Below are 13,485 nucleotides of genomic sequence, written 5' to 3'. Positions count from 1 at the left end.
CGCACCACCACCACCACCACCACAGGGAGCCTGAACCTAATACCCCCAGGAGGATCTGAGTGACTTGGGGCAGGATGCTCACGGTCCTGTCCTCAGGGATGCAACTGTTTGCTTCGAGGAGGGCTCCTGGAGAAACTAAGCTGGGTAAAGATCACTGGGCAGCTCTGGGTAGGGAATGTGACACAGCAATTTGGTCTACGTGGGGCCAGGAATTTCCACTGGGAATAGCAAGGCAGCAGACCAGGGGATGGTGTGGGAGGTGGCCAAGGATGGTAGATAGAATTGCTACATAAAATACAAGACACCCAATTAAATATGAATTTCAGATAAACAACAAATAATTTTTTAGTATTTGTCCCAAATATGCCATACTTATACTGAAAAAAAATTTGTTGTTATTTGAATTGCAAAGTTACCTGGCCATCCTGTAATTTGCTAAATCTGGCCACCCAAATGTTGGGGTAGATAACTAGGCGATGGTGTAGCAGGAGATTAGGGGATTGTGGGCAGCGGACCAGGCTAGACTCACCTGGGCCTCTGAGCTGGGCCTCTGTCCTCAGGGGTTTCGCAGAGTTGTAGACTGAGGACCTGTTTCCTATCCAGGCCAATTTCACGGGACTTGTTTCCGCCTTCCCTAAGGTCTCAGGGAAGACACCTTCCCTTAGCTTCTCCCATTGCCACTCCCTCCCCCAGAGTCTTCAACCTTGGCAGGGAGACAGAGCACAATCTCCTCCCACCCTGTGGCCACCAAGCACAAGCACGCAGAATCTCTCTGTTTGAAGGGCTTTACAAAGACCAGCTTTGGAGGCACACTGGCCTAGGTATGAACCTGAACTTAGTCGCCCTCTAGCTGGCCATCATAGGCATGTAATTAACCTCTCTGTGCCTCGATTTCTGCGAAATGGTTAAAAAGAGAACCAACCTATTGTGATCATCTAGTGGGTCAATGTTTACAAAGCTGATGGAACACAGCACTCAATAAATGATAGCCTAAACATTCCAGCCGGGTGCGGTGGCTCACACCTGTAATCCCAGCACTTTGGGAGGCCAAGGCATGTGGATCACAAGAGATTGAGACCAGCCTGGCCAACATGATGAAACCCCGTCTCTACTAAAAATACAAAAAATTAACTGAGCGTAGTGGCGGGTGCCTACTCGGGGAGGCTGAGGCAGGAGAATCGCTTGAATCCGGGAGGTGGAGGTTGCAGCGAGCTGAGATCGTGCTACTGCACTCCAGCCCGGGCAACAGAGTGAGACTCCATCTCAAAAAAAAAAAAAAAAAAAAAAAATTCCTAAAGCCCACAGGGAACCAGGAAGGGGATAATAAAAAAAAAATTAACATGGAGAAGTGACACAGGTACCAGATTCTTTCAAAGCTCTCTCTCATAGCCATTATCACTCTTTCAGGAATAATGGAAAACATCAGTCCTGCATTCCCCTTTTACATCTGAGAGCAGAGCTCACTATATCATCTTTGCTCTTTCAAATCTCTCCTTTCCCAGGATCACTCTATCCAGCATTAGTCCAGATGGAAAGCTATGAATTGGAGTCCATTCCAATTTTAGGGAGTCAGGTGGGGAGTGTGCATCTCAGGGAGACCACATGGGAGGCTCTTCATTCATTCCACAAATGTTTATTGGGTCTCTCCTGTGTATACTGGAGACAGACAAGTGAATGAGACAGAACTTGCCCTTGCCCGCAAGGAACTTACAATCTAGTTGAGAATCTCATTTCATTCATTATCTCTCCCAACCCTTATTATCTTCACTTGGATGGTTCAGAGAACAGGATGGCGAGTTGGTTAAAATCAGAATGCCGACTCTATCAACTGGAAGTGGCTTTGTAGAGAGCCATGTTTAGCCATGCTCCAGCTCAATGGGGAAAGGTTTTGTGATGATTAGTGATGTCTGCCATGGGTGCAGGAAAGAGAAGTGGCACAGATGTTCCACTGATATGCACATCAAGCCTTTCCTTGCATTTATATCCTGGAAGAAAAGCCCACAACTTGAATCTCTTTAGGACTATGAATCCAAGCCTGGTGGGTGGAGTGATGAAGAGCTTCCCCACCCCTGGGGAAGGTGAGTCTTCAGAGCCGGCAGACCTAAGTCCCAGAAGAGGAAAGAAATAGACATGAGACGGAAGAAAGGTTGCAGTTGGGCCCCTGAGTGGCATGCTGACAGACAGGAACAGAGTTCACCAGATAATGAGAGGAACCTGGCAGTGAGAAAAGCCCAGTGACAAGTGATACCTCTGTCCCCACTTCCCATCAAGCTTCTCTAGCTGGGAATGCCTTCCATGATGATGGGTGTTCTGCTGACCCCGGGATGACAGATACGATTGCAGCAGATGGCCCTGGGTCTGCTTGGCTAGGAAGGTGAGTTCAGGACGTAGGCACAGAAGCAGGGCACCTTCCTGGTACCTGAAATAAATTTTGGGCCTTGCCATTAAAACTCAGGGATCCCAATTATACATGTTCACGTGGGTTTTTAATACTCACACCAAAGGGAAGATATTCTTATAAGTGGGAGAGAACTTTGAAATCATCTACTCCAGGGTTTCTCAACCTTGGCACAATTGATATTTTAAACCAAATACTTGCTTGTTGTTGGGGCACACAGAGCCTGTGCATTGGGGGCTGATCAGCAGCATCCATGGATGATAGTAGCACTGCATACTCCCTCTCATTGTTACAACCCAAAACACCTCCATCTCCAGATGCTACCAAATGTCCCCAGGAAGCAAAGTCACCCCTGGTTCAAAACCATTGACTCATATCATCTCAATCTATGGATAAAGAAACTGAGGTCCAGAAAGGTGATCTGCCCAAGGGACATTTAGTATGTTCTTTGGTGACTCTCCCTGGAGAATTCTCTTTTTTTTTTCCTCCTTCCGTCCCTCCCTCCCTCCCTTCCTTCCTTCCTTCCTTTTCTTTCTTGAAACAGGATCTCATTCGGTCATCCAGGCTGGAGGGTAGTGATGCGATCATAGCTCACAGCAGCCTCGACCTCCTGGGCTCAGGTGATCCTTCTGCCTCAGCCTGCCAAATAACTGGGACTATAGGCATATGCCACTACACCCGGCTATTTTTTGTATTTTTGTAGAGATGGGGTTTCGCCAGTTGCGCAGGCTGCTCTCAAACTCCGGGGCTCAAGCAATCTTGCCTCAGTTTCCCAAGGTGCTGGGATTACAGGCATTAGCCAGTGTGCCTGGCCTATGAGCCACCATGCCCAGCCCAAGAATTCTTCTAATAACACCCCACACAAAAAGAAAGGGTCTTATAAATCTGCACCTAGTGAGATCATACAACTTTTGCACAGCTATATAAAACCTTTTAGAGTTAGCCTACATTTAATTGGAGGAGGGCTCTGCTTCTGTCCCCTCTCCTGGGGGTACTGGGTCTGGGGCCTTTTATGATGTTACTTCCCACTCCGACCTTCCTGGAATCTGGTTTAGAACAGCGTGTACCAGGTTTTGGAGATAGAAGCACTGTCACTCTCAGCTCCCATGGCAGTGCCACTGACTTGAATGTCAGACTTTATAGATCTTGGTATTGAAGGAAGACGAAGGCCCTAAGTTTCATCTAGAGAGGAAGAGCTCCAAGGTTGGTAGCAGATGAGCTATCTCAGGGACAGGTAAGGTGATGGAATAAGAAATGTGGTGGGCTGTCCATTTCACCAATAAAACTTATTTTCTTCTTTCTTAAAGAAAAGGACTTCCCAATGCTAATTTGTTAGAGCCCAGAGTTGCCCGTGGCATTAAAAGTGACACAGGGAATAGCATTACATTTCTATTATCTTCCTGATGAGGGCATCAAGACCTGCTGCCACTATGCTATTTCACATTTCCAGCTAAAAAGCAAGTGATTTCAAAGGCATTTGGCTGGCCCTGAACATTTTTAATGATGTGTGTTCTTTCTTGACTTCACTTACATTATCACCCCTATCAAGTAAGCCTAAGTCCCTGTGATTATTGGAATGGTGAAAACAGATGGCTAAATTTAGATTTCAGCGGGATGTGGGGTGGAAGGTAATGCTGAAAGCAGAGGCTTCAGAAGACAGTTTATATGTCCTTTGCAATTTGGTAAAATCTGAGTCTCTGATAATGAAAAATGTGTGGGTGGTATTGGTATATACATATGACCCGGCTCTCAGCACTGTTGAGAACTTCTGGGGGCAACTGTCTGTTATCAACTCACTTTTGCAGTCTTCCCCTTGGAGGTCCATGTTTGTCAGTCTTTAGTTTGTTTTTGGCTTGGTGACATGATAACACTATTCCTGCATGAGATACTAAGCTCCTGGGGCTGTTCTAAGATGTGTTGAATACAAAATGTCCTGCTCTCTCTGCCTGAAGATGATGCTCTTGCATTTAGATGCCCTATAGGACTAACACATGCCAATGAGCCTCCTAAGAGATTGATGGTAAATCAGAATTGTCATGAGAAATAGAACCCAAACAGGCTGGACTGGATGGTCCTGAGGCAGAATGTGGGGCACAGGAGGTTGGTTTATGCTTTTGATGGTCAATATATTATGCCATGGGAGCTAGGTACCTATGTCTTCACTCCAGAAAAAGTCCTGCCAAGAAGTCCAGGTACCCATGAGGACTAGGCAGGGCTCCCTCTCCTTCTGAAAAAGCTGCAGACACTGAAATTCTCTTTCTCTCTCTGGTCCTGGTGTCCTGTTTGCCTGAACACCATGAAAACCCAGCTATTTCTATTAACCCATTCTTCACGTATAAAGGTCACAGAACACTAAGGTCCTTTTTTTTTTTTTTTTTTTTTTTGTATAAATTGAAAGGATATAAGTGCAGCTTTTTTTACATGGATATATTATATAGTGGTGAAGTCTGGGCTTTTAGTGTAACCTTCACCTGAATAATGTACATTGTACCCATTAAGCAATTTCTCATCCCTCACTCCACTCCCACACTCCCACCCTTCAGAGTCTTCAGTGTCTATCATTCCACACTCTGTGTCCAGCTGTACACATTATTTAGCTCTCACTTATAAGAGAACATATGGTATTTGAATTTGTTTCTGAGTTTTTTTCACTTAAGATAATGGTCTCTAGTACCATCCATTTTGTTGAAAAATACATGATTTCATTCTTCTTTTTTTTTTTTTTTTTTGAGGCGGAGTCTCTTTTCACCCAGGCTGGAGTGCAGTGGCGTGATCTCAGCTCACTGCAACCTCCACCTCCCGGGTCCAAGTGATTCTCCTGTGTCAGCCTCCTGAGTAGTTGGGACTAGAGGCGTGTGCCACCATGCCTGGCTAATTTTTTGTATTTTTAGTAGAGACGGGGTTTCACTGTGTTAGCCAGAATGGTCTCGATCTCCTGACCTCATGATCCACCCGCCTCGGCCTCCCAAAGTGCTGGGATTACAGGGACATCCAGCTGATTTCATTCTTTTTTAAGTGGCTGAATAGTATTCCGTGGTATATACATATCACATTTTCTTTATCCAGTCCTCCATTGATGGACACTCAGGTTGATTCCCTATTTTTGCTATTGTGATAAACATACAAATGCAAGTATCTTTTTTATATAATGATTTCTTCTCCTTTGGGTAGATAACCAGTAGTAGAAGTGCTGGATCAAATGGTAGTTCTATTTTTAGTTCTTTGAGAAATAGCCATACTGTTTTCCATAGAGGTTGTACTAATTTGCATTCCCACCAATAGTGTATAAGCATTCCTTGTTCTCTGCATCCTCACCAACATCTATTTTTTTGACTTTTTAATAATAACTATTCTGATTAGTATAAGATGATACTTCATTGTGGTTTTGATTTGCATTAAAACCTGATGATTAGTGATGTTGACCATTTTTTTCCTATGCTTCTTGGCCATTTGTATGTCTTCTTTTGAAAATGTCTATTCATTTCCTTTGCCCACTTTTTAATGGGGTTATTTGTTTTTTGCTTTTGTTGTTGTTTGAGTTCCTTGTAAATTCTGGACATCAGTATCCTACTAGATGCATAGTTTGCAAATATTTTCTTCCATTCTGCATGTTGTCTGTTCACTCTGTTGATTATTTCTTTTGCTGCGCAGAAACATTTCAGTTAAGTTCTAGTTGTCTATTTTTGTTTTTATTGCTTGTGCTTTTGAGGTCTTAGTCATGAATTCTTCGCCTAGACCAATGTCCAGAAGAGTTTGCCCTAGGTTTTCTTCTAGTATTTTTGTAGTTTCAGGCCTTACATTTAAGTATTTATCCATCTTGAATTGATTTTTGTATATGGTGAGGGACAGGGGTCCAGTTTTATTCTTCTGCATATAGCAATCCAATTTCCCCAGCACCATTTATTGAAAAGGGTATCCTTTCCCTCGTGTATATTTTTGTTGACATTTTCAAAGATCAGTTGGCTGTAGGTATGTGGCTTTATTTCTGGGTTTTTAAATTCTGTTCTATTGATCTTTGTGTCTATTTTTATGATCATGCCATGCTGTTTTGTTTGCTATAGCCCAGTAGTATAATTTGAGGTCAGATAATGTAATGGCTCCAGCTTTGCTATTTTTGCTTAGGATTGCTTTGGCTATTTGGGCTCTTTTTAGGTCTCATATGAATTTTAGGCTTGTTTTTTCTAATTCTGTGAAAAATGACAATGGCATTTTGATAAGGATTGCACTGAATCTGTAGATTGCTTTGGGCAGTATGGTCATTTTAACAATATTAATTCTTTCAATCTATGAGCATGAGTTATTTTTCTATTTGTTTATATCATCTACAGTTTCTTTCATCAGTGTTTTGTAGTTTTCCTCATTGGGATTTCATTCTTTTTCATGGCTGAATAGTATTACCTCCTTGGTTAAATATATTCCTAGGTAATTTTGTTTTGGTGGCTATTGTAAATGGGATTGTGTTCTGGATTTGCTTCTCAGCTTGAGTTTTATTGGCATATAGAAATGCTACTGATTTTTGTATGTTGATTTTGTATCCTGAAATTTTACTGAATTTATTTATCAAATCTAAGAGTTTTTCGGAGGAGTCTTTAGGGCTTTCTAGATATAAGATCATATCATCAGTGAACAGAAATAATTTGACTTCCTCTTTTCCAATTTGGATGCCTTTTATTTCTTTCTGTTGCCTGATTGCTCTGTCTATGACTTCCACATTAAGTTCTTAATAACGTTTTAGTCCTAAGGAAGCTCCTTATGTTCCTGGGTTGGTTCTGGGAGTGTTTTGAGACCTCTCTACCACCAGTGCAGACTCTGAAATTTGGATGACTCCCTCAGAAAACTCAGGGCATCCAGAGAACTTAGAGACAACTAGTTTTGCTACCTGCTCTACTCCTAGGTGAGTGGCTTTATCTATAAGTTCCAGGGCACCTCCCTACAGACACCACTCACCCATATCCAGTGGGCATGTGCTTTGAGCTCTTCCCCCAGAATGAATTTGAGTGGTTTCACCCACATTCCTCAATGCTCCTTAGCCTCCCACTGTGACCAGGAGCACATAGTTCCACGATTTGCTGGAGAGGGCCAGGGTGGCCATCAGTGGGCAGGGAGGAGCAACACAGTTCAAATCCACAGCCCAAACCTGGTAGCCAATTCTCTGGTCAGTTTTTGAGTGCCAGGCTCGGCATTAGTGTCAGCGGAGGGAAGGAGAGATGATAACCCAGGGTCCCTGTTCTTTCCAGACTCTTCGTCTCAAAGAAGAGACTGACACAGAGATAAATAACTCTCACAGAAGGCAGACTGTTTTGTTGCAGTACCAATAGAATGCCAAAGTGTCTCCACTAAACCATGAGCAGAAACTCATGATTTAGTGAAGGTTTAGTGTTGTATTTATCTGCTTCCTTAGCACCAAGCCTAGGGTCAGGCCCATATCTATGTACAATAAATGAGTAAAGGAACCAGTTGAGGAAACACACAGCACTTTCTCTCTAGGGACCACACCAGGTCAATGAAAGGCACTCTGTAGCTCTAACTAGATGCCCTCTTTCAGCTCCTGGGTCCATTTTTCTCCAGGAAACATTATATGCAGTTACAGAGGTGAAGCTTTCCTCCTTCCTCTCCTTGCTCAGCTTCTTAATGGTCTTTCATTCTGCCAAGGCCAATTGTCAGGGGAACTGCGGAGATTTACATAGACACCACAACCAACTCCAGGACTATCCCTTGGAGACTTGGGAGTGAGCATTTTTATAATACAAGGAAATCAGATTACATTTAGATAAATGAATTTTAGGATGAATTTACTGCATGCAAAGGACAGAAAAGCAAACCAAAATGAACAAGGTAGTCATTGTAAGGTTCTAAGACAGCTCATGGAAATAAAGTGCAGCCAGTATCATTTTGAAAATTGCATCTGGGAAATCTGAACTGTTAGGGCTCAAGGTATCCTCTCTCTGTCTCTCTCTCCCCAACCCCTCTTTTTCTCTTTTCCTCTCTCACCCTAACTGTAAGATACCTATTCACTTTCCCACACCTCCAATCATGGATTATTATGAATGAGATGTCATGATTATGAGTGGCTAAGTCTTCTGTCTCCTCAAGAAAACAGCACTATTGTGTGACTACAGCATCCTATGGAAAATTTCAATCTTATTATAACCTTAAGAGCTCTGGTTTCATAGCCATCCAAGCCCTCTTTGAAATGACTTATAGTCCCTCTCTTTGATTCTCTTTCTCTGGGGCCTCTATGGTGTCTCTATGGTCTCATCTGTTCATACATTTGGGCCATTTTTCTCTCTGCAGCTTGTTCAAGAAGCATCTCTGCCTCTTAATGACTTCAGCCTGTTTACAGCATTGATTGTAGGTAAAGTTCCCAACCCTCAGTAACCTTTGAGCTCTGATTGCATTCTGGCTGTGCAACACATACTTGAAATTCTCAAGAGGGTGAATCTGATTGGCTGCTGACCAGCCAATAGATTGTTCAACATTGAGACAGGATCTGATTCTGGTCCAACCAGCTGTAGCTGGATGGTCACATAGAACACATAAGGCAGTCCAGCTGGTCCCTTCAGTAGGGCTTACAATCCAAGACAGATCACAGAAGAAGATGGAGTGGGCCAGGTACCCCAGAACAAAATTACTATGTTAGATCAGTTTCGAGGTCATCAGAGGTCCACAACTTTAGGGAAAATTGTGGCGGGAAGGGGGGATCTGTCCATCATGGTGTGGACAATTTAGAGGAATATGGGGTAATTATGGGTGAGTGTGTGTTATAACCTAAGTGAGTCTTAGCCTTTCATGTGTGAACGGAGCCTCCTCCTCCTCCTCTTTCAGATGCTTTTCAGAGTCACTGTACAGTTGGCAGCAAGAGGGAAGATTCCCAAAGCATGCGATGGGGACAGTCTCCTCCCCAACCTCACACCTCAACCCCCTTCTTCCCCACCCTGCAATAGAAACAGCCCCCACATGATTGTTTGCTTCCTAGCAAAACTGGACCTAAATGTTTCCAGAGGCAGCTAGCCCACTTTTTGTTGGAATGGCCTTCTAAAGAATGAGAAAGTTGTCTGCTGGCACTGAACTCACAAGCTTAAGCCCCTGTAATCAGAGGCTACACAAGTGCAGGTATTTGGGATAGGAATAAACCAGTCCAAACAGATCTGGGTTCACATGAGTCTTGCTTCCCATACTTAGCTTTTTGCTCTTTAAGAGAAATTTTCTAGACTAGATTTTTCTAATGAGCTGCCAGGATTCAAAACTACTCTCAAGAGTCCAGAGACTTGGGTTCCAGTTTTAGCTCTACTACTAACTAGCAATGTAACTGTGGGCTATCCCTTCCCCACCCTAAGCTTCAGATCTCTCCCCTGTATAAAGAGGGAATTTGGAGTAGATGATCTTTAGTGCTCTTTTCTTCTTGACCTTCTGTTATCCAGCTTTCACCCAACCACACCATCAGTGCTCAGCTATACTCACCTCCAGGAATATGCCCTGAACTCTCACAACCTTCCCACCTCTGAAGGTTTAACCTCTCTTTTCTCTTTGCTCAGTTTCTCCAGGGTCTGAGTGGCATCTAGCCCTTGCCAGTTCACACAAGGAGAATTGCATGCCTTTGACTCTGGAGAGTCATTCCTTGTTTGTTTGTTTTCTATTTCTACCCTCTCCAGAACTGTCATCCTCAGGATCCTTCCATTGGCTTCCAAGCCTTCCTGAAAAGATCTTTCAAGAGGGTTCCATTCAGCCCCCCAGGGTCTAAATCTACTGAAGAGCTGATCTTCCACATCAATAGACTCCTCCAATGTCCTGGAATGTGTACCTCTGAATTGAGGCCACCGCAGAGCCAGTCTGCAGGGGCTGAAAAATGCAATGCAACTGAGGGTAGGCCAGGCATCCTGTGTTCAGACCTCAGGCCCTGATAGGCTGCTCACCTCTGATGCAGTGTGGTTGGGTGAGAAGAGCCAGGCCCACTTTGGAGGCAATCCCTTCCCACCTTTGTAGCCTTGTTTCCCTTGCACATACTGCTTCTATTTATCTTCCTCACAACCAGCTCCCTTGCACCTGTTTGTTCCTTTCTTGAAGGTCATTCGCTCAGCCTCCTGGTTTGTGCTCACACCCTCCAGTCAGCAGCTTATCTCCCTAAAGAAGTTCAGTAGACACATATGGGGACAACTTGTAAGACTCGCAGTGCCTATGTGGACAGGGTCATCAGGCTGCCTCTAAGTCCACCCTGAGATTATTAGTATAGCCTCATCCAACTCCTTAGCTTTGGTTTGATCTTCAGGCAGATGCAACTGTTTTTCATGGCTGTTCCCTCTCTTAATCACGCAGTCCTTAAATCTTTCCAGTAGCTTGTTCCCTGAGGGATCTGCTGACCATAACTTGGTACTGGAGGGGAAGGTCCTCTCTGCACTCAGCTTATTTCCAGAGGAATGAGGCCAATGCAGCAGGCAACATCCAAACAGAAAGGACCCAGAGAGGAGAGTCTGAGGGCGGCATGACTTCAACAAGGGGTGAGGACAGAGGTAGATCAGGAACTGCTCATGACCAAGGGAAGCCAGTTGGACGTCAGTGTTTTTCCAGGTGAGAAGGATGGAGCATCAGTAGCTCTGTCCTCTAGAAACTGCCAAGCAACCTAGAAAGCTTCATGTGTTCATTCATACATGTGTTAAAGATATATTGAGCTCCTACCCTGATATATTCTGTGTAGGCAATATAGAAATAAACAAATCCCATTTCCTGCCTTCTAGGACTGCCACTTGAGAAAAAGCAGCACAAAAATAGATCACAAAAGTGCCATGTAACACATCTTTAGAACGGAGGGAGGTTGGAATGGGGAAACTGGCAATACCTGACATTGTAAAAATGCAAAATAACTGGATCTGTCACACACTGCTGGGAGAAATGCAAAATAATACAGCCACTTTGGAAAACAGTTTGGCAGTTTCTTAAAAGTTAAATATATCCTCTTGCCTGAGATCTGGTAACCAAAAAAAAAAAGTTAAATATATACTTACCTTACAACTCATAAATCCCGTTCCTAGGTATTTACCAGGAGAAATGAAAACATATGTTCACATAAAAATTCTACATGAATGTTTATAGCAGCTTTATTCATAATTGCCCCAAACTTGAAACTCTAATGTCCTTCAACTGGTGAACTGATAAACTGTGGTACATCCATACTTCAGAATACTACCTAGCAATGGACTACTGCTGCTTGCAACAACATGGCTGAGTCTCTCTGAGTGAAAGAAGCCAGACTCCAGATTTCATTTATGTAACATTCTGGGAAAGGCGAAACCAGAGGGGAGAAAAATAAAACCACCACAGATTAGATTGGTGGTTGTGAGAAGCTGGCGATGGGGGAAGTTGTTGGCTTTAAAGGTATATGAGAGAATGTTTTGGGGTGATGGAATTGTTCTGTATCTTGATTGTGGTGGTGGTTACTCAACTGACGTGTCTGTCAAAAATCTTGAGTTGTATTTTACTTGGTGTAAATTGCACTTTAATAAACCTGAATGAAAAAAACAAAATACCAGGCTACAGGAAGGCCCAGGGAGATTTGCTTTCTGAAAAGATGGCCCTGTCACAGACTGATGGGTTCTTCTTGCCTGCTGCCCTGAAGAAAACAATGAGAACAGCAGGTTGTTGCAGCAAAGAAAGAGCTTAATAATCTCAGGGTAGGCCGGGCGCGGTGGCTCACGCTTGTAATCCCAGTACTTTGGGAGGCCGAGGCGGGCGGATCACGAGGTCAGGAGATCGAGACCACGGTGAAACCCCGTCTCTACTAAAAATACAAAAAATTAGCCGGGCGTGGTGGCGGGCGCCTGTAGTCCCAGCTACTCAGAGAGGCTGAGGCAGGAGAATGGAGTGAACTCGGGAGGCGGAGCTTGCAGTGAGCCGAGATCGCGCCACTGCACTCCAGCCTGGGTGACACAGCGAGACTCCGTCTCAAAAAAAAAAAAAAATAAAATCTCAGGGCCAGCCACATGAGCAGAACGGGAGAAACTTCTCAAGCCTGTCTTCCCGAGAATTCCAAGGCTAGGGTTTCTTTTTTTTTCTTTTCTTTTCTTTTTTTTTTTTTTTTTCTTTTGAGACAGTCTCTTGCTCTGTCTCCCAGGCTGGAGTGCAGTGGCGCGATCTCGACTCACTGCAAACTCTGCCTCCCGGGTTCACGCCATTCTCCCGCCTCAGCCTCCGGAGTAGCTGGCACTACAGGCGCCCGCCACCACGCCTGGCTAATTTTTTGTATTTTATTAGAGATGGGGTTTCACCGTGTTAGCCAGGATGGTCTCGATCTCCTGACCTCGTGATCTGCCCGCCTCGGCCTCCCAAAGTGCTGGGATTACAGGCGTGAGCCACGGTACCCGGCCAAGGCTAGAGTTTCTTAAAGGCACTCTGGCAGCCAGGGGGCTGGAGAATTGAAACAATTGATTGACAGGGGATAAGATCACAGGGGTGTCTAAAGCTGCCTTTGTGCAGCTGAGTCAGGTACTGGGAGGGGGTCTCAAGACCAGGTGGCATCTATCTCTTGGTCTGCCAAAATGCCAAATCTGAAAAAAAATCTCAAAAATATCTCAGATACATATGGGGAAGTTCTTTAGGTTTCACAATAGTGATGTTATATAGGAATAGCTGGGGAAGTTATAAATCTTGTGACCCCTGCTTACATGACTCGGGGGTAGTAAAAAACTTCTAGAAAAGCATGCTAAGTCATGGCAGGTTATTGCTTAACTATGCCTATTCTTCAGCAAAGTTAGAGCCCTTACCATGATTCTAACCATGTATTACGAATGCGACTTCAATCTCTGAACAAGGAAGGGGCAGTTTTTCTGGCCTCAAAGTTTAACTGTAAACCAAATTCCTCTCATAGTTATATTGGCCTCCAGACTAGAATAAGCAAAAAACCAATTTAGCCTGTGAGGTTAGAAGCAAGATGGAGTCTGTCATGTTAGATTTCTCTCATTACTTATAATTCTGCAAAGGCGATTTCAGTCCCTTCCTGGTGGTGAGATACATAGGAAGTGGGGCAAGGAGGATTAAGAATGACAGAATGTAGAGGTTCGCATCTTGCTAAAAGGAACAGAATAAGATGATGGCTA

At 44.0% G+C, this 13,485-nt stretch overlaps 1 protein-coding gene and 1 pseudogene across 2 annotated transcripts in view; both read right to left on the bottom strand.

The window, feature by feature from the left end:
• Positions 1–13,485, bottom strand: part of KCNC4 (potassium voltage-gated channel subfamily C member 4) — a 73,767-nt gene that overhangs the window by 2,999 nt on the left and 57,283 nt on the right. The window lies entirely within an intron of this gene.
• LOC124900436 (uncharacterized) lies at positions 8,475–8,598 on the bottom strand (annotated as a pseudogene).

This window comes from Homo sapiens, chromosome 1 (genome assembly GCF_000001405.40).
Source record: "Homo sapiens chromosome 1, GRCh38.p14 Primary Assembly".
Lineage (NCBI taxonomy): Eukaryota > Metazoa > Chordata > Mammalia > Primates > Hominidae > Homo > Homo sapiens.
Note: the sequence above shows the minus strand (reverse complement) of the source record. Positions and strands in the feature narration are given on the sequence as shown.